At 40.8% G+C, this 23647-nt stretch overlaps 2 protein-coding genes across 6 annotated transcripts in view, besides 2 other annotated features; one reads left to right on the top strand and one right to left on the bottom strand.

Annotated features, from left to right (window-relative positions):
- QRSL1 (glutaminyl-tRNA amidotransferase subunit QRSL1) overlaps positions 1-11663 on the bottom strand; it is a 38840-nt gene extending 27177 nt beyond the window's left edge. Inside the window, exons 1-4 of one of the 2 annotated variants that reach the window (XM_011535924.3) lie at positions 11536-11663; positions 1035-1140; positions 733-892; positions 320-418 (exon numbers count right to left, since the gene is read on the bottom strand). In XM_011535924.3, coding sequence (XP_011534226.1) covers positions 320-329 — 10 coding nt within the window. In that variant the 5' untranslated portion in view covers positions 330-418; positions 733-892; positions 1035-1140; positions 11536-11663. The remainder of the gene's footprint in view (positions 1-319; positions 419-732; positions 893-1034; positions 1141-11535) is intronic. The other variant, NM_018292.5, reaches the window with a different exon arrangement.
- The window catches only part of RTN4IP1 (reticulon 4 interacting protein 1), a 59721-nt gene continuing 46823 nt past the window's right edge, over positions 10750-23647 (top strand). For 2 of the 4 annotated variants that reach the window (NM_032730.5, XM_017011376.3), the window contains exons 1-4: positions 11743-12493; positions 18272-18423; positions 19748-19816; positions 21915-22039. In NM_032730.5, coding sequence (NP_116119.2) covers positions 12220-12493; positions 18272-18423; positions 19748-19816; positions 21915-22039 — 620 coding nt within the window. In that variant the 5' untranslated portion in view covers positions 11743-12219. Of the gene's footprint in view, positions 10915-11154; positions 11399-11742; positions 12494-18271; positions 18424-19747; positions 19817-21914; positions 22040-23647 lie in introns of those variants that run through there. The other 2 variants (XM_011536192.3, NM_001318746.1) reach the window with 2 other exon arrangements.
- Positions 11432-11491: an enhancer, noted in NCBI's record as "active region_24893". NCBI's record gives its function as "activates an Ori minimal core promoter by ATAC-STARR-seq in GM12878 lymphoblastoid cells {active_cell/tissue: GM12878}" and the evidence as "EXISTENCE:reporter gene assay evidence [ECO:0000049][PMID:35858748]".
- Positions 11522-11661: an enhancer, noted in NCBI's record as "active region_24892". NCBI's record gives its function as "activates an Ori minimal core promoter by ATAC-STARR-seq in GM12878 lymphoblastoid cells {active_cell/tissue: GM12878}" and the evidence as "EXISTENCE:reporter gene assay evidence [ECO:0000049][PMID:35858748]".

Raw genomic sequence — 23647 nt, 5'->3', positions numbered from 1 at the left:
GTGATTCTCCCACCTCAGCCTCCCAAGTAGCTGGGACTACAGGTATGCACCCAGTTGGTAATTAGTTATTGAACTGAGTCTTCCTAAATATTAATAGAATTTTTGAAAACTTCTGAGATAGCATTCATTAAGCTGGCTGACCTCTAAAGAAAAATTCTGCATTCTAAAAGAGCAAATAGTAAAAAAACATGATATTATATTCTAAATATTTCCTTCAAAGATATAATTAGTCTGAGATTATCTTGGTACTTTATTATCCTTAAAGCGAAAAATACCTATTTTTATAAAATTATCAATGCTCTGATCAGTTAAACTTTACCTTTCAGCATATTTGATGCACATGTTGTCTCAATGCCAGAAGTGCTGAAATTGTCTTTTACTGCAATAGGAATTCCATCTAAATCCCCAAGTGACTGTCCTGCATTAAAAAGCCAAAAGAGTGATAAAGGAGATAGTTTAAAATATAAAGATACATGAATACATGTTATTACAGTAACTACTAGTTTTTGGCAAAGATACTTCTTCAGAAAACAAATTTATGGCAGAAATTAATACAGTTGGACATTATGAAGCATCACATAGCCATTACCCTCATTTTTATTATCCTCATGGCAAGTTCTTTAAATAAGGCTATGGTTTATGTTTAAAGCTTCACTTGCCAAATGGAGACTGCTACAAACAATTAAACTTCTCTGGAGATATAACAATTAAGTATAGTTAAAAGCAATTTACCATTCTTATATCTCTTTTCTGATTCTTCAGCTTGTTTTAAGGCCACCTCTTCTGACACAGTAATGTAGGCATTTAGAAACTTGGTCTTCTTGATAAGAGAGAGACATTTTTGACAGAGCTCTGTTGGTGTAATTTGGCCTTGTTTCAGTGCCGCAGAAACCTATAGTGTATACAATTCAAAAACCTTTTACTGAGTCTGCAGAAGTTTCAATTGTTATATTGGTGGGGGTGGGGGGAGATGGAGTGGCTAAGTATAACATTTTAAAGTGAGGCTTGGGTTCAAAATCAAGAGAACCTATTACCTCTACACTTAGTGTAGTGGATGAAGGGTGATGCACTGATCAGCTTGAGGACAGGTGGAGGACATGACATTCTTCTCCTTAGCCAACTTTTGGTTTCAAAGTCAGGCTGTACAAACAACGGCAGTAAGTTAGGTAAACCATCCTGTCCAGGGGGAGTTGAGGCCCAGCATGGGTGAAGGATGGCTGAGGGCAGATTCTGTACAGAGGGTAGCTTAGCTGCAACACAGGCAGTCCAGAGAGAAAAAAAGAGAAGTGAACTGGACGAGGCATTGCAGGATTTTTATGGCTCTCTAAATAAGATCTTTATACCTATTGTGGAGTTCGAGTAAGAGACACTATGAATTAAGAGAAATGCTTATAAAATACGGGTTCAAAGGCAAAGTAAAAACAAACTTTTCTGAAATTCTGTCTTTAGGGAAGACATTGGGAAGGCTGGTAAAGAAGGAGTTAAAAAAAAACTGCACCGAAAGTGACTGGGAAGTAGTGAATACCAGTGTATATTGACAGGAAGTAGGGCCTAAGATGGAGTGATGAGTGTCTAATATTTCCTGTAGGAAGTAATAATAACATGTACTTACTAATCAGATAAAAGGGATGAATAACAATAAGTAAAAGATGACACCAAAACTTTGGAGATTTTATGAAAAGATAATTGAATTAGATGGGAGCTGAGAGAAAAGGAGAATAGGGGAAGGAATAGTATTTACCGAGTATTTTCCAAGAGCCAGGCACTGTTGCTTTACATGCATTATTACTTCATTTAACCCTTAAAACAACCACACTGGCCGGGCGCAGTGGCTCATGCCTGTAATCCCAGCACTTTGGGAGGCCAAGGCGGGTAGATCACAAGGTCAGGAGATGGAGACCATCCTGGCCAACATGGTGAAACTCTGTCTCTACTAAAAATACAAAAATTAGCCAGGTGTGGTGGCACGTGCCTGTAGTCCCAGCTACTTGGGAGGCTGAGGCAGGAGAATCACTTGAACCTGGGAGGCGGAGGTTGCAGTGAGCCAAGATCGCGCCACTGCACTCCAGCCTGGTGACAGAGCCAGACTCTGTCAAAAAAAAAAAAAAAAAAAAAAAAAAACAACAAAACACACAAATAACCACACAAGTTAGGTACTGTTTATCTCATTTGACAGATAAAGAAACTGAAGCTCAGAAACCTTGAGTGATTTGCCCAAAGTCACACAAATAGTAAAGGACAAGGTGACCTCATAATATACAGTCTTCACCATTTCTATCTCTACTCTATTGGAAGCTTAGTTTGTCCTCCAAGTTGACAGTGTTTTCACGTGTTCCATAAAGCAACAGAAGTTTGCATTTGAGGGGAAAATCTCCAAATGATCTGCTCTTAGCTACTGAGTAAATCATCAACGCAATGGCATTCTTGGGGCTGAGGGTTTTAAATGCAACAAGCAGTGGGAAGAGGTCATCAAGAGGATCCCTAATGCTCACCGACAAGAGGAAAAGGACTTCCATGGGGAGGCTGCAGGACTGCTGCAGGGATAAGGAGGGCAGCAAGGTCCGATTTAAGGAAGTGACTTTTATAGTAACAAGAAGAGAGAGTTCGTCTAATGGTTTGTATGAAAGGTAAACCCTTGGCCAGGCACAGTGGTTCGCGCCTGTAATCCCAGCACTTTGGGAGGCCGAGATGGACAGACCACCTGAGGTTGGGAGTTCAAGACCAGCCTGACCAACATGGAGAAACCCTATCTCTACTAAAAATACGAAATTAGCCAGGCGTGGTGGTGCATGCCTGTAATCCCAGCTACTCGGGAGACCGAGGCAGAAGAATCGCTTGAACCCGGGAGGCAGAGGTTGCGGTGAGGTGAGATCGTGCCAATGCACTCCAACCCGGGCAACAAAAGCGAAACTCTGTCTCAAAAAAGAAAAAAAAAGAAATGTAAACCCTCTAGAAGAAAGAAGCTAGAAGGAATAAAAGAGAGCAGTGCGTTTTAACATCATGTATATGGAATGGGAAGAACAAAGATGGTAGTAGGCTGGGTGGAAGAGAGTTAGAACTAACAAAAACCCAGAGCTAGAGAGACAAATATACGTAGGCAGGCCCATCCCATGGCTAAGTTGTAACAATGAGGAAAACTGCATTTGCCACTTTCTCTCCTTCCTTGACTCCTCTCAAGTCCCCTAATGCCTACAATCCTCAAGCTGCTTCCAGACTGGTATAAGGATAAAAGCTAAGGTGTTACAATTGTGGTTGAACAGCAAGAAATAAGATTGTCTAGGATATTCACTTTAAATGGTGCCGATTTGCATTAAGACCATTTTTAGGAACTCTAGATTTGAGAAAAAAAATCAATAAGGGAAGTGGAGAAGAGAAGTGAAAACAAAGATGCTAATCAGCTAAATGGACTGAGCATAAGAAGCAGGAAACATAAATCACATATACAGTTCCCCAGGACAAAACTGCAGGTGTCAAATCTGAATATAAAACGAAGTTAACTTTTAAGTTTTCGTTAAAAGAAAAAAAATTCTCTCTCTGGCACATCTTTTCTCTAATGGAAACTAGGTCTTCCCTGGCAGCCGCTGCTTCTCCTGTTTAGTGCCTACCTACCACATACCACAGAGTCCAGAGTGGGAGAGGGGAAAGATGATCTCCTTGTTCCTCAATGCTTCTCTTCCCTCTTCTCTCAAACATTCCGCTCACCCAAAGCACATGCCTTGGGAGATGACACCACGCTCCCCAGTATGCTGACCTATAGCCTTCCTGGTACTACTTTTCATTCATTGACAATTTTGCTGGCTAGCACACTGTCATCTTTGTTACTATTGCTCCTATCCTCTCCCTTGTTCACATCATATTTCAAGTCCATGTACACCAACATCTGATTTTTCAGTTCTTTGATCTCACTTTGCACAAGCTTTTCCTTCACCTCACCCCAGTTGCCAACTCTCCTGGTCACTGTCTAGACTATATACATCATTACTAACATCCGTTTGATCTCCAAAATGTCAACTCCAGCCATCCCATGTCTCCAGCCCTTCAGCTCACTTACTTTACTATCCACACAGCCAGCAGAAAATCGGACCTTAGTTCCACAACCACAGGAAATGAATTCTGCCAGAAACCAACGAGGTCGAGAGGGCTGGAGCTCCAGATGGAACTCTAGCCCTAGCAACACCTTGCAGTGCAACTGCAGCACATGGATTTCAGCCTTGTGAGACCCTGAGTAGAGGACCCAGCTACTCCATGCCCTGACTTCTGACCCAGAAAACTGTGAGATCCTGAGATTATGTTATTTTAAGCCACAAAGTTTATAGTAATTTTTTATGCAGCCATAGACAACTAATATACCTCCTTAGAAAAATTTTAAAATCTTGCTCAGGAACCACTCTTCTTAGAAAGTAAAGGAAGGGAAAAATGCAAATACATATAATTTAGTAATTTTGTCCCTGTAACAAAATTAATGTTAATAATAGCTAGTACTTAGTTCTAGACATTGTCCTCAGTGCTTAATATATCATTTAATCTTTACATCCACACTGAGAAGCTATTATTATCTCCATTTACAGATAAAAAAACTGAAGTTCCTACCTGAGGTCACATAGCTAAAAAGCAGTAGAGCTGGCTGGGCGCGGTGGCTCATGCCTGTAATCCCAGCACTTTGGGAGGCCAAGGCGGGCAGATTACAAGGTCAAGAGATCAGGACCATCCTGGCCAACACGGTGAAACCCCGTCTCTACTAAAAATACAAAAATTAGCTGGGCGTGGTGGCGTGCATCTGTAGTTCCAGCTACTTGGGAGGCTAAGGCAGGAGAATCGCTTGAACCCGGGAGGCAGATGTTGCAGTGAGCCAAAATTGTGCCACTGTATTCCAGCCTGGAGACAGAGCGAGACTCCGTCTTAAAAAAAAAAAAAAAAAAAAAGTAGCAGAGCTGGGATTCAACCGAGGACTCATCTTGTTTCCAAAACTCATGCTCTGAACTACTTACTATACTACAGGGTGAGTATCCCTTATCCAAAATGCTTGGGACAAGAAGTGTTTAGATTTCGGATATTTTCAGACTTTGGAGTACTCTATGTGCACTATATACTTTCCAGTTGAGCATCCCTAACCCAAAAATCTCCAGTCTAAAATGCTCCAGTGAGCATCTCCTTTGAACACACCCTTTGAAAATCATGTTGGTGCTCAAAAAGTTTTGGATTTTGGAGCATTTCAGATTTTCAGATTAGGGATGTTCAACCTGTATAATTATTCTCTATGCAAGACATTTTGGCATTTATTTCTCTGTAATGAAGTGGAGACATTTTAATTAACTTAACAGACAGCATTAGAGGTACACTTAGGAAAAGAACTGTCTTTTTTTTTTTTTTGAAATGGAGTCTCGCTCTGTTGCCCAGGCTGGAGTGCAGTGGTGCGATCTCGGCTCACTGCAACCTTGGCCTCCCGGGTTCAAGCGATTCTCCTGCCTCAGCCTCCTGAGTAGCTGGGATTACAGGCGTGTGCCACCACCTGGATAATTTTTGTATTTTTAGTAGAGACGGGGTTTCACCATGTTGGTCAGGCTGGTCTTGAACTCCTGACCTCGTGATCTGCCCGCCTCAGCCTTCCAAAATGCTGGGATTATAGGCGAGAGCCACTGTGCCTAGCCAGAAAAGAATGGTCTTTAAAAAAAGTTTGCCTTGGTAAGTGCTGAAGGTACAGGAGAGCTCTTGAGGGCTGAGTGTTCCAGTGATGGGTACTCATCCTCTCTTTAACACAGTCCATTCATGCTTTTGCCTTCTTGCTTCTTGAAACTGCGTATCAAGATCACCAGCAAGCTCCACATAGCTAAACCCACTGGTCAGCACCAGCCCTCATTTTATAGTACTCCTTAGTAGCATTCAACACAAGTGACCACTCCCTCCTTGAAACACTTCTTCTCTGTGTTCAGGACACCATGCCATCCTGGTTTTCCTCCTGTCTCACTGGGCATTCTTTCAAGTCTCTTTTGCTGGCTTTACTTCCTATTGTTGACCTCCAAAATGTTGGAATTTTAGGTCTTCTTCTATTTTTACACTCAACTTCCCAGGTAATCTCATCTGGCCCTATAGCTTTAATTATCTTCTACACTCTGGCCAATGTATATCCTCTTACCTAGCCTCTTTTCTGAGCTCTGAACTCTTGTATCTAGTTGCTTAACTGATATCTTCACTTGGATATCTAGGAGGCATCTAAAAATTAACACATCCAGAACAAAACTCTTGATAACCTTCCCCTTCCAAACATGTTCCCTTTAAGGTTTTCCCATCTTGATGTCACATTTCCCCAACTGCCCTAGCCCAAAACCTAAGTATCCTCCTTGATTCTTCTCTTTTCCTCAAACCCCATATCCAAAACATCTGCAAACCCTGACTTAAAAAACAATATCCACTCCCATTATCTCGCCAATGCAACAGGCTTCTAATTGGTCTTCATGCTTTCTTGCTTTTTTTTTTTGAGACAGGGCCTTGCTCTGTTGCCAAACCTGGAGTGCACGGATGTGATCTCGCCTCACTGCAGCCTCAACCTCCGAGGCTCAAGTGATCCTCCCACCTCAGCCTCCTGAGCAGCTGGGACTAAAGGCATGCACCACCATGCCCAGCTAATTTTTGTATTTTTTGTAAAGACAGGGTTCGCCACATTGCCTAGGCTGGTCTTGAACTCCTGAGCTCAGACAATCAGCCTGCCTCAGCTTCCGAAAGTGTTGGGTTTAAAGGCGTGAGCCATTGCACCCGGTCAGTCTTTGTGCTTTATTACTTGCTTTTCTAAAGATCATGGTCCCTTAAGAGTCATCTGAAGGAGCTTTTAAAATTTTAACTCAGATCATGTCCACAGATTCAAAACTTTCCAGAAGATTCCCATTACACTTGGAATAAAATCCATACTCCCTACTGTGGCCTCAAAGGTTCTCCACAATTTGGCTCCTACCTGTCTCCCTAACCTCTTCTCTCATTGCTCTCCTCATTCACTTCTCTCCAGGCATATTGGCCCTTTTGCTATTCCTTGAACATGTTAAGCTTGCTCTTGTTTTAGGGTCTTTGTACTTACTGTTCCATCTGCCTGGAACACTATTCTCTCAGATCTGCCCAGTGTTCCCCCTTCATGCCCTTCTGGTCTCTATTAAGTATTATTCACTCAATCAGAGAAATCTTCCCTGACCACTCTAGCTAAAATGTCCAGCTCCCCCAACTAGTTCTCATACTATGATCTACTTAATTTTTCTCCATAGTACTCATACTACCTGAAATTATATCATTTACTTTTTTTTTTTTTTAAAGTGTTTAATGGCTGCGTTTCCACACAAAAAAGTTAGGTTTCAGGAAGCAGGAGCTTCTGTCCGTCTTTAATGCTACCCCCCAGTACTTGGAACACAGAGGTACTCACTAAATGTTAGTTGAATGAATAACAGTTGTTTAAAATTTAGAATCGATTTCCCTATAGAACAATGATTAGTTTTTCTAAAGTTGAAGCTCCAAGAAGCCAAATGAATATATCATTCTTTAAACTTTAGGATTAATAATATTAGCCTGGTGCCTCACTCCTAGAAACACTGGGATCATGCCACAAAAGACAAAGGTAAAAGTGAGATTTCCTCCCCCTTTCTGAATGTACTTGGGTAAAATTTACAAATGGGAATTTTACCTATTTGGCATTTTACCTCCTTTTTGTGCCTATTCCCAGGACTCCTGTTACCATAAGCTTCCACTCACATCCCCCAAATTGCTGCCATCATTTCCAGCCCTTCTCCCTAATTCCCCGCAAATTTCCCCCTCTTCAACTGATTATCTCAATTAAGGTATTATGAAGAAATTTGAACTGTTATAATTTACAACAATGGGTGGAAAAATTGTTCAACCTTCCCAGGCATCTGTACATATTTAAAAGAGAATTAAATTAAAAGATAATTTGTATGAATTAATTAATCTCTAATTGGTAGAATTTAGGGCAACAGTACAGTGATGTGGAAAAAATACAAAGTAGACAGAAGGTAGTTTTAGAGCTGGGGAAATAACCACCAAATATTTTGCATGCTAGGCATTAATCAGTATTTGTTAAAGGAGTGATAAAGTAAAAGCAATCATGCCAAGGCAACCTCTGGATTTTCCCCTGGGTCAGCTCTCCTAAATAGTTCTTTTCTCCCCCCATGCGGCAAAAGTTGTTTTTCACAATGGCTAACTCAATGACACCAGAGAGAAGTAGCACTAAAAAAGGTAGCACTTAAGGAGCTATGACAGTTGTCAAAATCAAAATAGAGTGACTTGTGTTAAAATCCTGACAAATGGAGCCAAGGAAGGTCAAGAAGAGAGGGTTCTCACGCATGAATGCCTGATAAGAAGAACTATCACACTCCAGCTGACAAGGGATTGATAACCGAAGTATATAAGGAGTTCAAACAACTCAACAGGAAAAAATCCAATAATCAAATTAAAAATGGGCAAAAGATTGGAATAGACATTTCTCAAAAGAAAGACATATAAATGGCAAACTGGTATATGAAAATGTGCTCAACATCACTGATCATCAGAGAATTGCAAATCAAAACTACAATGAGATATCATCTCACTCCAGTTAAAATAGCTTCTATCCAAAAGACAGGCAATAATGAATGCTGGTGAGGATGGAGAAAAGTTGGATGAAATGTAAATTACTACAGCCACTATGGAGAATAGTATGGAGGTGCCTTAAAAACCTAAAAATAGAACTACTGGTTGGGCACAGTGGCTCACACCTGTAATCCTAGCACTTTGGGAGGCTGAGGGAGGAGGATTGCTTGAAGCCAAGAATTCAAGACCAACCTGGCCAACATAGTGAGACCCCATCTCTAAAAAAAAAATAATTAAAAATAAATAAATAAAAATAGAACTACCATACGATCCAGCAATCCCACTGCTACGTATATATGCACCTAAAAGAAAGAAAATCAACATAGCAAAGACATATCTGCTCTCTCATGTTTATTGCAGCACTATTCACAATAGCCAAGATTTGAAAGCAAGCTAAGTATCTACCAACAGATGAATGGATAGAGAAAATGTCCTACATGTACACAATGGAGTACTATTCAGCCATAAAAAGAACGAGAGCTTGTCAATTGCAACAACATGGATGGAACTGGAGGGCATTATGTTAAGTGAAATAAGCCAGGCACAGAAAGACAAACTTCCCATGTTCTCACCTATTTGTGGGAGCTAAAAATGAAAACAATTGACCTCGTGGAGGTAGAGTAGAATGATGGTTACTAGAGGCCTGAAAGGGTAGTAGTAGGGGTGGGAAGTGGGGATGGGTAATGGGTACAAAATATAGTTAGACAGAATGAATAAGATACAGTATTTGATAGCACAGCAGGTGATTACAGTCAACAATAGTTTATTGTACGTTTAAAAATAACTAAAAGAGTATAACTGGAACGTTTGTAACACAAAGAAATGATAAATGCTTGAGGTGATGGATACACCATTTACTCTGATGTGATTATTATGCATTGTATGCCTGTATCAAAATATCTCATGTGCCCCATAAATACATACACCTACTATGTACCCATTAAAATTTTTTTTTAAAAACAATCATAAGACTGCAAAAAACACAACCTTGCACAAAGGCCATTGCAACCTTCCACACACACGAGTACTTCTGTAAGAATGTCTGTCCAGCAACTGGCCATCCAACCTTGGACTGATGCCACCTTTGTGACTGATCCTTGTGGCCAAGGATAACTGATTCAAAATAATTTAAGTAATCCTTCTCATTCTGTCTTTAAAAACATCCCTTGCCTCAACCTTCTTGAATAGGCACATAGTTTACAATATTACACATATTCCCATTGCATTGCTACTCCAAAATAAATATTTTCTTTAGAGTCTCTTTCTGTTACTTAGATTGACAGTGGAAAAGGCAGAAAAAGGAAATAACATATTTTTATAGGTTGTATTTAATTTTAAAACAAGTTTTGGGTGTTGTCTGTTTATTTATTTTTATTTTATTTATTTATTTTTTGAGACGGAGTCTTGCTCTGCCGCCCAGGCTGGAGTGCAGTGGCGTGATCTTGGCTCACTGCAAGCTCCGCCTCCCGGGTTCACGCCATTCTCCTGCCTCAGCCTCCCGAGTAGCTGGGACTACAGGCGCCCGCCACTACGCCCGGCTAATTTTTTGTATATTTAGTAGAAATGGGGTTTCACCGTGTTAGCCAGGATGGTCTCGATCTCCTGACCTCGTGATCCACCCGCCTCGGCCTCCCAAAGTGCTGGGATTACAGGCGTGAGCCACCGCGCCGGGCATATTTATTTTTTAAAGAACAAATTTGATTCGACGCAATTTAAAATGATAACATAATAATGTATTTTGGGGGAAGAACTATTATTTAAAGCCTGTGGATTTCAATTTCTCATTATATATTACAGCTATCTATAATTATAATTCCACGCTGCCAGCTGGGAAACAAACAAAACGACAACTTCTAGGGTGGAATAAAAAGGAAGATGGAAGGCAGTTTAGGTCATCAGCGCCTACTTCTTACCAGAAATCACCTGGAGCCTCCATTAAACCATACTCCCGAACTTACCACACAGCTCTAATTAAGTCTAGAGTGGGGCATAGTTTTAGTTTCAACAGGTGCTTTATGTGACTCTGATAGCAATGGGCCTGCAGACAGTTCTAAGGTTGAGTGACGTGAACCAGGAAGCAAAAAGACCCGAATTAAAGCTATAACAGCAGAAATAACGTAAGAGGGCAGATTCCAGCCATATCTGCAAGATAGAATGAAGAGGGCTTAGTGATTTATTGGATATGAAAGATGAGGAAGAATCTAAAGGCAAATGAGATAATAGTTGTGCCATTAAAAAGAGTCTATTAAGAATTCAGAAATACCAGAGCTTTTTTAAGACGGGGGTTGAGAGGTAAGTCCTGTTACAATGATTACTTCAACACCGATTAAAGTGAATTTGAGGGTGCTTATGTGACATTTAGAAGAACTGCCCAGAAAGCATTCACAAATACAGTCTAGAATTCAAACACGACGTCCAGGACATGGAGACACGGGTTAGGAAATCACTGGTATCTTAGTGGTAGGTAAATCCTAGAGAACGAATTCTTTGAAAAAAGCCAAAAATTACTCATTTGAATTTTGCAAACTACAGTTTCGCCGGGCTTCTTAGCGACAACTGCAGCTAAGTGTCGGGGACAGAAGAGAGACTGAAGTGGCCCCGCAAGCCCCCTTTGGCAAAGCCCACTCCGAGACCATCCGGATCCCGACCTACACCAGAGCAAATGTCTAATGGTGAGAAGCCGCTTCACCACCCTACAGATCCGCGGTGCAGAGATTTCCCTGCTAAGGTCCTAACTCCTGAATGGGTACGGCGAGTACACCCGAAGAATCGAAAGGTACTTATCCCCCACTCAGTTCTAGAGGAAGCAGCGAGGTGGGCCAAGATGCGTGGTAAGGCCCAGGGACTCTTTGTCAACGAAGTCCGTTAAACTTTCCGCCCTCCCGGGGGCCTCAGCGGGCCAATTCCACTCACTTCTCGGAGGCTCCGGCCCAGCATGGTCCTCGTGCCCAGCCTGCCACCACAGGAGCCAGGCAAGGGGGAAAAAGAGGTCACCGGTCGCTAGTGATGTTACATGGGCGCAGCCATCTTTAATTGTCACTGAGCCCTTCAACACCGAGTACTTGGATTGGTTGAATTGCAGCCCGAGGAAATGATCTTTGTAGGCGATTGGTTGGCGCCGCAAAGCCATCCCGGCGGCTAAGGAGAGCGGGCAGGCAAGGAGATTCCGGGCCAGGGTCGCGGCGGCAGTCGGCAAGCGTTCGATTCTCTGGCGTTGGATCGCGAGCGGTGTCTGCTTGTCCCGCCGAGGGCTCCCAGGACAGGGCAGGGATCTAGGGGGTTTGCGCACCTGCTTTTTAATGCCCCGCCCCCCCTTTTTTTTTTAAAGTGGAGGGGGTGAAAGTGAGGGAGGAGAATGGACAGAATACTGACTGGAACGTTAATTCGAGCATTTCATATGCGAAGAGCGGAATAACAGTTCCGTATTCTTCTTTCAGTTTCTCCATTAGATTAGCTTCATTTTCGAATGCTCCGTTTTGCATGCTTAATTTTGAAACTAGCCCGTGGTTTGGCAGAATTTGACTGAATTCAGGGGTGAGAGTTTGATCCAGTCCAAGTGTATTTGAATTTGAGCACGCAGTTCAACCAGTGTTTACAATGGAATTTCTGAAGACTTGTGTACTTAGAAGAAATGCATGCACTGCGGTTTGCTTCTGGAGAAGCAAAGTTGTCCAAAAGCCTTCAGTTAGAAGGATTAGTACTACCTCTCCTAGGAGCACTGTCATGCCTGCTTGGGTGATAGATAAATATGGGAAGAATGAAGTGCTTCGATTCACTCAGAACATGATGATGCCTATCATACACTATCCAAATGAAGTCATTGTCAAAGTTCACGCTGCCAGTGTAAATCCTATAGACGTTAATATGAGAAGTAAGTTTTCAAAAGACATTGTTACCTTTTTTAAAAAAATCACTTTCATAAGGTATGCCGTTTTAAAAAATTGACTACGCTTCTTTGGTTTACATAAATGAATCATTTAGGTTTTTAACAATACCTCTGCAAATATTTCCAAAATTTTTGAAATTGCAATGGCCAGGGAATCCTTCTGGCCATTTGTATTGACAAAATATAAGCTTGATTGTTTTCATGCGTCCTTAAATATGTAAGTTCAGACTTGAGAACTGTGTCTGTAGCTAACTTTTTTTTTTTTGAGACTGAGTCTCACTCTGTCACCCAGGCTAGAGTGCGGTGGCCTGATCTCAGCTCACTGCAACCTCCGCATCCTGGGTTCAAGCAATTTCTCCTGCCTCAGCCTCCCGAGTAGCTGGGATTACAGGCGCATGCCACCACACCGGGCTAATTTTTTGTATTTTTAGTAGAGATGGGGTTTCACTATGTTGGTCAGGCTGGTCTCGAACTCCTGACCTCAGGCGATCCTCTGCCTCCGCCCCCTAAGTGCTGGGATTACAGACGAGCCATTGCGCCCTGCCTATGTTTGTAGCTAAATTTCTGTCCAGGGAACTTTGTGGTATTCTGAGATCCGTCACAGGCTTCGGAAGTATAGTTGTTTCCTAGTCAGTTTAGAATTTATGGGGTTTTTTGTTTGTTTTTGAGACAGAGTCTCACTCTATCGGCAGGCTGGAGTGCAAGGGCGCTTTCCTGGCTCACTGCAACCTCCGCCTTCCGGGTTCAAGCGATTCTCCTGCTTCAGCCTCCCAAGTAGCTGGGACTACAGACATGCGCCGCCACACCCAGCTAATTTTTGTATTTTTATAGAAACGGGAGTTTCACTGTGTTGGTGGGAGGCTGAGGCAGGAGAATCGCTTGAATCCGGAAGGCGGAGGTTGCAGTGAGCCAAGAACGCGCCCTTGCACTCCAGCCTGCCGATAGAGTGAGACTCCATCTCAAAAAAAAAAAAAAAAAAAAAAAAAAAAGCATTGAAATGACTTTACTGTGATTGTCTCATGAAGTCTACGTTTGTATTCTTTGTTTTGAAGTAGTAATTGCTACTACCAGTTGGGCATGCCGTTTTCCTTTATTCTTTTTATATTAGGCTTGAAGAGAATTCAGTTTTTTATAAGATATGTCTTTTAGTGGTAAGTTTTACTCAATGATCAGCATGTTTTTTCATCTCCTTTGATTGTAAGTTCTTTCAAGATTGATCCCATGCTTTGTCAACCTGTTTCAGTGCTTCACATACGCAGTTGTCATTCAGTCACTATTTCTATGCCTTTTTATATTTTTGTTCTGACTTAAGATAACAAACTTAAATTAGCAGTATTTTATCTATGAGTAATTTTTACATTTTGTCTTCGTTTAGGTCTGTTAGCTTTTTATTTCTTTAAATGCACATGCGTAATTCATGCCGTGTACATTTTCATTTAAACAGAATGGCTGTATCTAGACTTTTCTTGGCTGCTGTTTAATAATATAACACTGTAAAACATTTTACTTTTATATAGTATTCTTGAAACATCTTAGTTTTTTATGACTTGAATGGGTAATATTATTCGCAAGTTATCCTCTTTTTTTTTTTCTCCTACCTTTTGAGGATATTTATTGTCATTGCAGAAGATATCTGAAACAGTAGCTTGGGGAAATAAAATAATGAGTAGAAGACTGTAAACTGTAGGAAGCAGTTATTTCCCTTGGCAAGAAAGCAAGAGACATGTCTATTTTATTTGAAAGATGAAGGCTGGCTGTTTTTCTGGAGACGGCCACTACTGTTGGACGTAAAATAATAAATCATAGAAATGGCTAAAGAAATGAAGAATTTTTACATGGGGAAAAAATGCAGCCAACAGCATCATACCAACAAAGTTTGGTGTCTTTAGATGGGATTAAAGTCTTTAAACTGATGACAGATTTAGGATTTTTCAAATTGGCCCAACTCTCTGAACAAGTCAAGGTGTCAACCCCTGTCAATAGGATGGAACACTTAAGGGCCCCATTCAGTCATCCGTGTCACCAAACAGGTTCTCAATTACTAACTGCCAGCTGACTACATTCTGGGTTCAGGGGCTTGTTAGATAGTAACAGTGAGCCAAGGCTACTCAGTTGATGTATTAGCATTATCAGGGGACCAAGAAAACTAAAAACAACCTTGGGCTGCAGGCTCTGTATCTCAAAGAGGACTGAAACCTTTCTGCAGCTCTTAAACAGCAGCTAAAGTTTGACACGACTAAATGTCCACTTCTGTTGTTCAAACCACATAGAAGTTTCAGTGAATAATTGTTTAATTATCTTTAGCAGTGGAAAAGGAATGTAAGGCAGGAAAAGTGAAGCACATGACTTTTGTGAATATTACAAGTGAAGTTGTTTTTTTTTTCCCTGACAGAGTATAATCCTGACTCCCCAGATGGCAAATGTTGTAATGTTGGTATAATGGCCATCAGCTTAGATTTTCTGGGACTTTCCCACCTTTCAAACACTTTATCCCATGTGTCTTGATTTTTTATTAGTAACACAACTCATGCAAGCTACCCACCTGTCAGCATCTCTCTCGGTATCTTCTACCTTCCCTCCTGCTGTATGGATTAGCTGTCACTGCTTTCACATAAGGCCAGCCCTCGGCTTGTGTTTCTGATCCCATCCCCCTCACCTACTCTGGGATATCATTCCGGCAGGTGTCTCCTGCATCATCAGTCTTTTCTTTTCTACTGGATCATCTCCATTAGTATACAGACTTGCTGTTATTTCTCCTTTCTTAAGAAGAAGGAAAAGGCTGGGCACAGTGGCTCACACCTGTAATTCCAGCACTTTGGGAGGCCGAGGCAGGTGGATCACCTGAGATCAGGAGTTCGAGACCATCCTGATCAACATGGAGAAACCCCGTCTCTACTAAAAATTAGCCAGGCGTGGTGGCGCATGCCTGTAATCCCAGCTACTCAGGAGGCTGAGACAGCAGAATCGCTTGAACCCGGGAGGCGGAAGTTGCAGTGAGCCGAGATCACGCCATTGCACTCCAGCCTGGGCAACAGAGCAAGACTCTGTCTCAAAAAAAAAAAAAAAAAAAAGAAAAAAAAGAAAAAAGCCACTCAAAAGTCCTCTGTCCATCCCAGTTCCCACTTCGAGCTACTGCTCCATTTCTCTGCTCCCTTTGCAACAAAACTGTTTTAAAGAGAGTTCAGTCTTCTCATGTCTCCAGTCCCTTATTTCCCATTCTCTCAAAAGTGCACTACACAGCAGTTGCTCCTGGCAGGGTTACCAAAGGTCTGTTAGATCCAGGCTTGTTTGTTTGTTTTAAAGCCTCTTAGCATCTTTGGACCTTATTTGAAAACCTGTCTCCCGTCAGCAGCATTGAATGTCTTTAAACTGCCGCCTTAGTCTCCTTTGCTGCTTTCTCCTCATCCCTAAGATCTAATGGATTGCCCACAGGAGTGGGTGCGGGGCAAGGGGAGACGTACAGAGTGGGTTAGTGACTGTGGAGCATGCGTTGTGGGGCAGGGAGTGAGTGGTACATGACACTGGAGAGGTAGGCAGGGTGCCTATCATGGAAAGCCTCACATGGCAGACAGGTTCTCAAAAAAAGGTCAAGCAGAAGAGAGAATAACAGATACTTTTGGGTCTGAGAAAAGTCACGTTGTATATGGAAGCCATGTAATAAATTACTCTGGATTATTATAGAGTAGCAAATTTACTTGAACCAAAAAATTAAAAGAATGTTTTCAGTTTTATTTAGCTGATATTTATATAAGTATTCTTTTTCTTTTTCTTTTTCTTTTTCTTTTTTTTTTTTTTTTGAGACAGAGCTTTGCTTTGTCACCTGGGCTGGAGTGCAGTGGTGTGATCATGGCTCACTGCAGTCTCAAACTCCTGGGCTCAAGCAATCCTCCTGCCTCAGCCTCCTGAGTAGCTGGGATTACAGGCATGTACCACTATGCCTGGCTAATTTTTAAAATTTTTAGTAGAGATGAGCTCTAGGCTGGTTTTGAACTCCTGAACTCAAGCAATCCTCCCACCTTGGTCTCCCAAAGTCCTGGGATTACAGATGTGAGCCACCACACCTGGCCTGTAAATAGTCTTAAAAATAAAAAGATATGGGCCAGGTGTGGTGGCTCACGCCTGTAATCCCAGCACTTTGGGAGGCAAGGTGGGTGGATCGCTTGAGCCTAGGAGTTTGAGACCAGCCTGGCCAACATGATGAATCCCTGTTTCTACAAAATTAGCCAGACGTGGCGCACACCTGTAATCCCAACTACTCCAGAGGTTGAGGCATGAGAATGGCTTGAACCCAGGAAGTGGAGGTTGTAGTGAGCCAAGATCACATCACTGCATTTGGGCAACAGAGTGAGGCTTCATCTCTTAAAAAAATAAATAAAATAGGCCGGGTGCAGTGGCTTACACCTGTAATCCCAGCACTTTGGGAGGCCGAGGCGGGCGGATCACGAGGTAGGGAGATTGAGACCATCTTGGCCAACATGGTGAAATCCCATCTCTACTAAAAATACAAAAATTAGGTGGCTGTGGTGGTGTGTGCCTGTAGTCCCAGCTACTCGGGAGGCTGAGGCAGGAGAATCACTTGAACCCTGGAGGCAGAGGTTGCAATGAGCCAAGATCATGCCACTGCACTCCAGCCTCATGACAGAGCGAGACCCTGTCTCAAAAAAATAAATAAAAAGATGTGAAATAAAACAACTTGATTTTACACATCAGAACAGATGCAGCCAAGAGGCTTTTTATCACTCAGGAATTTATTCCAATTTATTTCAAAGATGTTGTTCTAGAAACATGTTTAAGGATGTGGGGATCATTACTGGTAAACTGTTGTCAGCATCAAGTACTTTATATTCTTGCCTTATTTATATATTGACTTCAAACAGCTTAAACATTTGTCTTCACCAGACCTGGCACCAAATATTCTGTTGTTTAAAAAGTTTGTGAATGAGTACGTTAATAAAGACATGAATACGTTAATAAAGACATCATCTTCAAAGAACAAAGCAAAACTGTATAAAAGATAATACTAAAAGTTCTGAAGACAGTTTCAAAATTTGAATTTCAAAAATATTTTGAACAATGGTGGCTTTAGTTTAATAAGTGATTATCACTTTCCAAGTAAATTTTTTTTAAAGAAAATCTTTTTATGCTTTCCCATGTAATGGCAAAAAATTATAAGGTTGATTACTTTTTTAAAAAACTTTTAAGTTGAGAGGTACAAGTGCAGGTTTGTTACATAGGTGAGCTTGTGTCATGGGGGTTTGTTCTACAGAGTATTTCATCTCCCAAGTATTAAGTCTCATACCCACTAGTTATTTTTCTTGATCCTCTTCCTCTTCCCACCCTCCACCCTCTGAAAAACCCCAGTGTGTGTTGTTCCCCTCTATGTGTCCATGTGTTCTCATCATTTAGCTCCCACTTTAGTTTTCTGTTCCTGTGTTAATTTGCTAAGGATAATGGCCCCCAGTTCCATCCATATCCTTGGAAAGGACATGATCTCGTTCCTTTTTATGGCTGCATAGTATTCCATGGTGTGTATGTACCACAGTTTTTTTATCCAGTCTATCATTGATGGGTAGTTAGGTTGAGTCCATGTCTTTGCTGTTGTGAATAGTGTTGCAGTGAACATACACTTATGTGTCTTTGTAATGGAATGATTTATAATCTACATCTTGAAGACCTAAAATTGTACTGGACTATAACCCTGTAGTAGTTTTAAAAGCATTTCATACTTACATTTGGAGGAAACAGATAAATTGTATTTTACAGGTGGTTATGGAGCTACAGCTTTAAATATGAAGCGTGATCCTTTACACGTGAAAATCAAAGGAGAAGAATTTCCTCTGACTCTGGGTCGGGATGTCTCTGGCGTGGTGATGGAATGTGGGCTTGATGTGAAATACTTCAAGCCTGGAGATGAGGTGAGTTAGGGAATGCCACTATTCCTGCGGGGATCCAACCCACAGACCCTGATCCAGCGACGGATGAGAGACGCACACTGACACAGATACTTTGCCTGTCAGTGCAGCTAAGGGGCTTCTGCTCCCTGAATCTGCAGCATCTGCCCCCTAAACTGACAAAGTTTGCATTTATTTAGTACAGATTAAATGACGTAGGTCTCGAGTAAACACCACTAGAGGGTAATTAACATTGCCGACCGTGCCCTGCCTCTGCAGCAGTAGAGAGCAATCATGCATCCATGAAAGATCAAAGATTGGTCTTAGGACCACTTGAGTAAACAAACTATTTAGATAAACTCCCCCACATTCCCTAGTTATTTGCTCTATTGCTATCAACTCAAGGTAAAGAGAATTAGGCTGCTTTCAGCCAAATGTTTTACTAAAGCTGTGCAACACCCCCGGCCTTCCAAGTAGGTTTGTGTCTACTTCCTATAACTATCTTTATAATTTTTCCTCTTACAATTTTTCCCACCACCCTGACTGAACTCCCACATATTCCTTTACTAAATGTGCAAATTTCATTCTGTTTCAGAAGTATATTCTATGCTGTTGAACTTTTTTCTTCTTTTCAACAAATATACTGAGCTTTGACTAGAACCATCACTTTTTTGGTTCTGTTGTTACATTTTTTCACAAACAATTCCAAAATATCTTGACTGTACCTGAGTTTGTGTTTTCTAAGTTTAGTACTTAAGAAATGCAAGACTTTAAAATATATAGAATTAGGGTATTTTTTTTTTCCTTGAAAGGGCCTTTAAATGACAATTTCTGCCTTATGGATGAGATGGCTTTAAAATAGCTTAAGTTTGGTATAATCACCTGTCACTTGTCACTTTGAACTTTTGTACCAAGAAATGATAGTTCATAATCATAGCTAACACTGTTCTGGTTGCTTTTTATAAAATAAGTCATCTAATCCCTCTGAGGTAGATAAAGTTAGGCCCAGTTTACAGATGAGGAAGCCAAGCTATAAAGAGGTCTCATAGCTAATAAGTGGTGGAGCCAGGACTCAGACCCCAGAGATTGTGGTCTTATTGGGACTCGAAGTAGTCAGTAAATGCAGCAGGATATGCTGGCATCTGCTTCCAGCGTGGTTTGACTTGATAAATCTAGAATCATACTAAGTAATAAATTTATATCATGAAAATAACACTCCTGCTTGGTGTAGTGCTGACTTCTGTGTTTTTCACAGCACAGGGTATATATTAGGGAACACTTTCTTGCTTAGCTTCGGTCAAAAAATATCTGTGTTTCTAATGAAGCTGTCTGTCTGTGTGTGTTTCAGGTCTGGGCTGCAGTTCCTCCTTGGAAACAAGGCACTCTTTCAGAGTTTGTTGTAGTCAGTGGGAATGAGGTAACTTACCAACTCTGCTGAAATGCATTAGAAAGTTTAAACAAAGACTGGCAAATATCTGAAATAACTGGTGTTTTTCAGATCTAGTTTATGTTTGATGGGGCAGTTTATAAAAAGATAATATAGAATATAGGAATTTTTGAGAGATTAAAAAAGTATTTGATGCCATTCAGTAACACTGCCTGCTAACGTAGCTGTTTTTCTCTCATAGAGCAGGGATTTGGAATGAGACCTAGAACCCTGCTGTGTTGCTTGGTTTTACCCTAGATAAATAGTTGAAAACAGATATAGGCAGTAGAGAGGATGGATTAGTCATCAGTGGAGACATGGAAATATCCAGCGGTTTTGAATAACTTTAAAAACAGGAGTCTAATCAAATACAGTCAGGAGACCAACAAATTGAATAGAGAGAAAGGGGTTAACATTGAGGAAATTGGCTACAGAAGGGAGGGCAGGAAGGGGGAAAAGGTTATTACTGAGATTAGAGAAAACCTAGAAAGATTTCCTTTCCAGAAAATGAGAGTAAAGGAAACAGCTGATCTCAAAAACTAATTAGGACGTGTTTTTGAGAGTTCAAGGTTTATTTGGATTTACTTCACGACTAATGGGAATATTGATGTGGTCTTTTTATAAACAATGAAGTAGTTATATCTGATAATGTAGCCTACATAACATTACTGAACATCTGTGAGGCAGGTAGAGCTATTCTATACAATATTTATTAGGATAATCTTGGAGTAGGGTATGCATATTGCTTACCCTACTCCAAGATATGCAACAGATAGAGCTATGCAATATTTATTAAGGATAATCTTGGAGTAAGATATGCAACAAACATGAACTGGAATGATTTTATAGATTTATCTGTGAAAATACAGTTGACCCCTGAACAATGCAGGAGTTGGTGCACCTACCCCTGTGAGGTAGAAAATGCACCTACATCTTTTGACTCCCCTAAAACTTAACTGCTAATAGCCTACTGTTGCCCAGAAGCCTTACCGATAACATAAAAAGCCAACTAAGGCTGGGTGCAGTGGCTCACACCTGTAATCCCAGCATTTTGGGAGGCCGAGGTGCGTGGATCACAAGGTCAGGAGTTCGAGACCAGCCTGGCCAATATGGTAAAACCCTGTCTCTGCTAAAAATACAAAAATTAGCCGGGCATGGTGTTGGGCGCCTGTAGTCCCAGCTACTTGGGAGGCTGAGGCAGGAGAATCGCTTAAACCTGGGAGGCGGAGGTTGCAGTGAGCAGAGGTTGCAGTGAGCTGAGATTGCATCACTGCACTCCAGCCTGGGTGACAGAGCAAGACTCCATCTCAAAAAAGTCAACTAACACATATTTTATATGTTATGTATATTATATACTGTATTCTTAGAATAAAGGAAGCTAGAATATGTTATGTATATTATATACTGTATTCTTATAATAAGGGAAGCTAGAATATGTTATGTATATTATATACTGTATCCTTACAATAAAGGAAGCTAGAAAAAATGTTATTAAGAAAATCATAGGCCAGGCGCGGTGGCTTACGCCTGTAATCCCAGCACTTTGGGAGGCCGAGGCGGGCGGATCACGAGGTCAGGAGATCGAGACCATCTTGGCTAACACGGTGAAACCCTGTCTCTACTGAAAATACAAAAAATTAGCTGGGCGCAGTGGCGGGCGCCTGTAGTCCCAGCTACTCAGGAGGCTGAGGCAGGAGAATGGTGTGAACCCGGGAGGCGGAGCTTGCAGTGAGCCGAGATCACGCCACTGCAGTCCAGCCTGGGCGACAGAGCAAGTCTCCGTCTCAAAAAAAAAAAAAAAAAAAAAAATGAAGAAAAGTATACTTACTATTCATTAAGTGGATCATCATAAAGATTTTCATCCTTGTTGTGTTCAAGTTACTAGAAAGAGGAGGAGTAGGAAGAAGAAGGGTTGGTTTTGCTGGTCTCAGAGGTGGCAGAGGCAGGAAATCCACGTATAAGTGGACTTGCACAATTCAAACCCCTGTTGTTCAAGGGTCAGCTGGATTCCTGTGAAGGTAAATGTGCTTAATTGTGTTCATAGGTTTGCAAGTCATTGCTTATTTTTGACTGTTGTCTTCAAATGTAGGTCTCTCACAAACCCAAATCACTCACTCATACTCAAGCTGCCTCTTTGCCATATGTGGCTCTCACAGCCTGGTCTGCTATAAACAAAGTTGGTGGCCTGAATGACAAGAATTGCACAGGAAAACGGTAAGTGTATCAGTCAGTGGCAGCATCTAAACCTCTTTTCTTTCCTTCTGTGAGTTCCTTGCAGTAGATTTGTCAGAGCTTTGAAATTTAGTATCATTTACACGAACAGAGCTGTACTAACATTTGAAAACAATTTCCAAAGCATTCTATTTGTGTCAGTTTGCACTTTCTTAGCTTCATTCTGTGGATTCTCAGCCCAATCACTTGGGAATTTTTTAACTGAGATGTGTGGATGGAATGGACTTTAGGAGTCAGAACCTTCTAAAATAATGCAAAATATTATATGTGATTCTCTAGGAAGAAGATCCATATCTTTTTTTTAATGAAATTCCTAAAAAGGTTAAGAATCATCCCATACAGTTTCTAAAGAATGATGTCAAGGTTAAGATGTTTTTTCCCTACCTCTCCCAGGAGTTATTCTCACACTTGCATATTTCTATAAAGGGACTGCACAACTATTGAATATTCTTAAGTTCTCTCAGTCTCAATGCCTAATATCCATTAGGTCAATTCTGATTCCCCAATGCCTTGAGCGTGTACTCATTTGGGTTAGCAGCAACATGGTGACCAGAAATGTCTCAGATGTACTTGAGTTTATATGTAGATTCTGTTGCTTTCCAGTTGGGTGACCCACTCACTCACTTTTTAATGAGTTTTGTTTTGAAGGTTAAATGAGGTAATGCACATTAAACTGGTGACACAGTTTATGGCACGTGGGAGGCACTCAGTAAATGGTGGCTACTGTTGTTAGCAAGGAGGTTGTGGTGTTCCTTGTATTTTAGAAAGTTGCCATCATAGAGAAAACTGATGATTTTGTTTTTTGTTGAGAAAACTAGATACTAAGAACCGTTTAACAATTGTAAGGAAGGAAGGAGCTGTAGGTCAAACTATAATAAATTAAAATAACCTAGTTTTTTTTATTACTAAGGATTGTGTTGGTAACATAACTGAAGTCTGTGTGATTCTGTTCTATTGTTATGAAACATTGCACTTTACATTTAATGTGTTCGGTGATAGAGCATTAAATTTTATGAAAGTTTAATAGCTGTATTTTTGAAAACTTATGAAAGCTATACATCTAGTGAGGTACTACCCTTCCTTATCTTAGAATTCAAGGTAAATATTTATTCTAAAGGTCAACCCTGTTTACTTTTTAAGCTATTGTGGCTTATCTTTCTTGAAGTTGCCATTTTGGTCAACACTTTGTTTAAATTAAATTAGTTTTGACCACATAGATTTTTCTAATGGTTTCTCTTAGTTAATAACCTTGCAAAAACCTTATTGAAGATTTTTAGACCTGTATTGTAATTGTAGACTCTGCAACAGCATTGGTTTTATTGTTTTGTTTTTTCCTTTAAAAACATTATGTTTTCTATGCCTGCATGACTATATGTGCACTATTGTTAGAGAGCTCTCATTTCTTTTACTGGTTCAGGGCTCTGTGGACTTACTTTTAATATACTGTAAAAAACAATTTAGAAGATAAGAAAAAATTTAAAAATTTAGAGACAAAGATCTGTCTCTTCTTAGAGACATTGGTGTGAGTCCTCAGTTTGTTGTTGGCTTTGTGGGTAATTCTTTGGTACTCTGTTATCTTCTGTTTAAGCA

The sequence above is a fragment of the Homo sapiens genome, chromosome 6 (genome assembly GCF_000001405.40).
Source record: "Homo sapiens chromosome 6, GRCh38.p14 Primary Assembly".
Lineage (NCBI taxonomy): Eukaryota > Metazoa > Chordata > Mammalia > Primates > Hominidae > Homo > Homo sapiens.
This window is presented reverse-complemented; position numbering and strand designations above follow the sequence as displayed.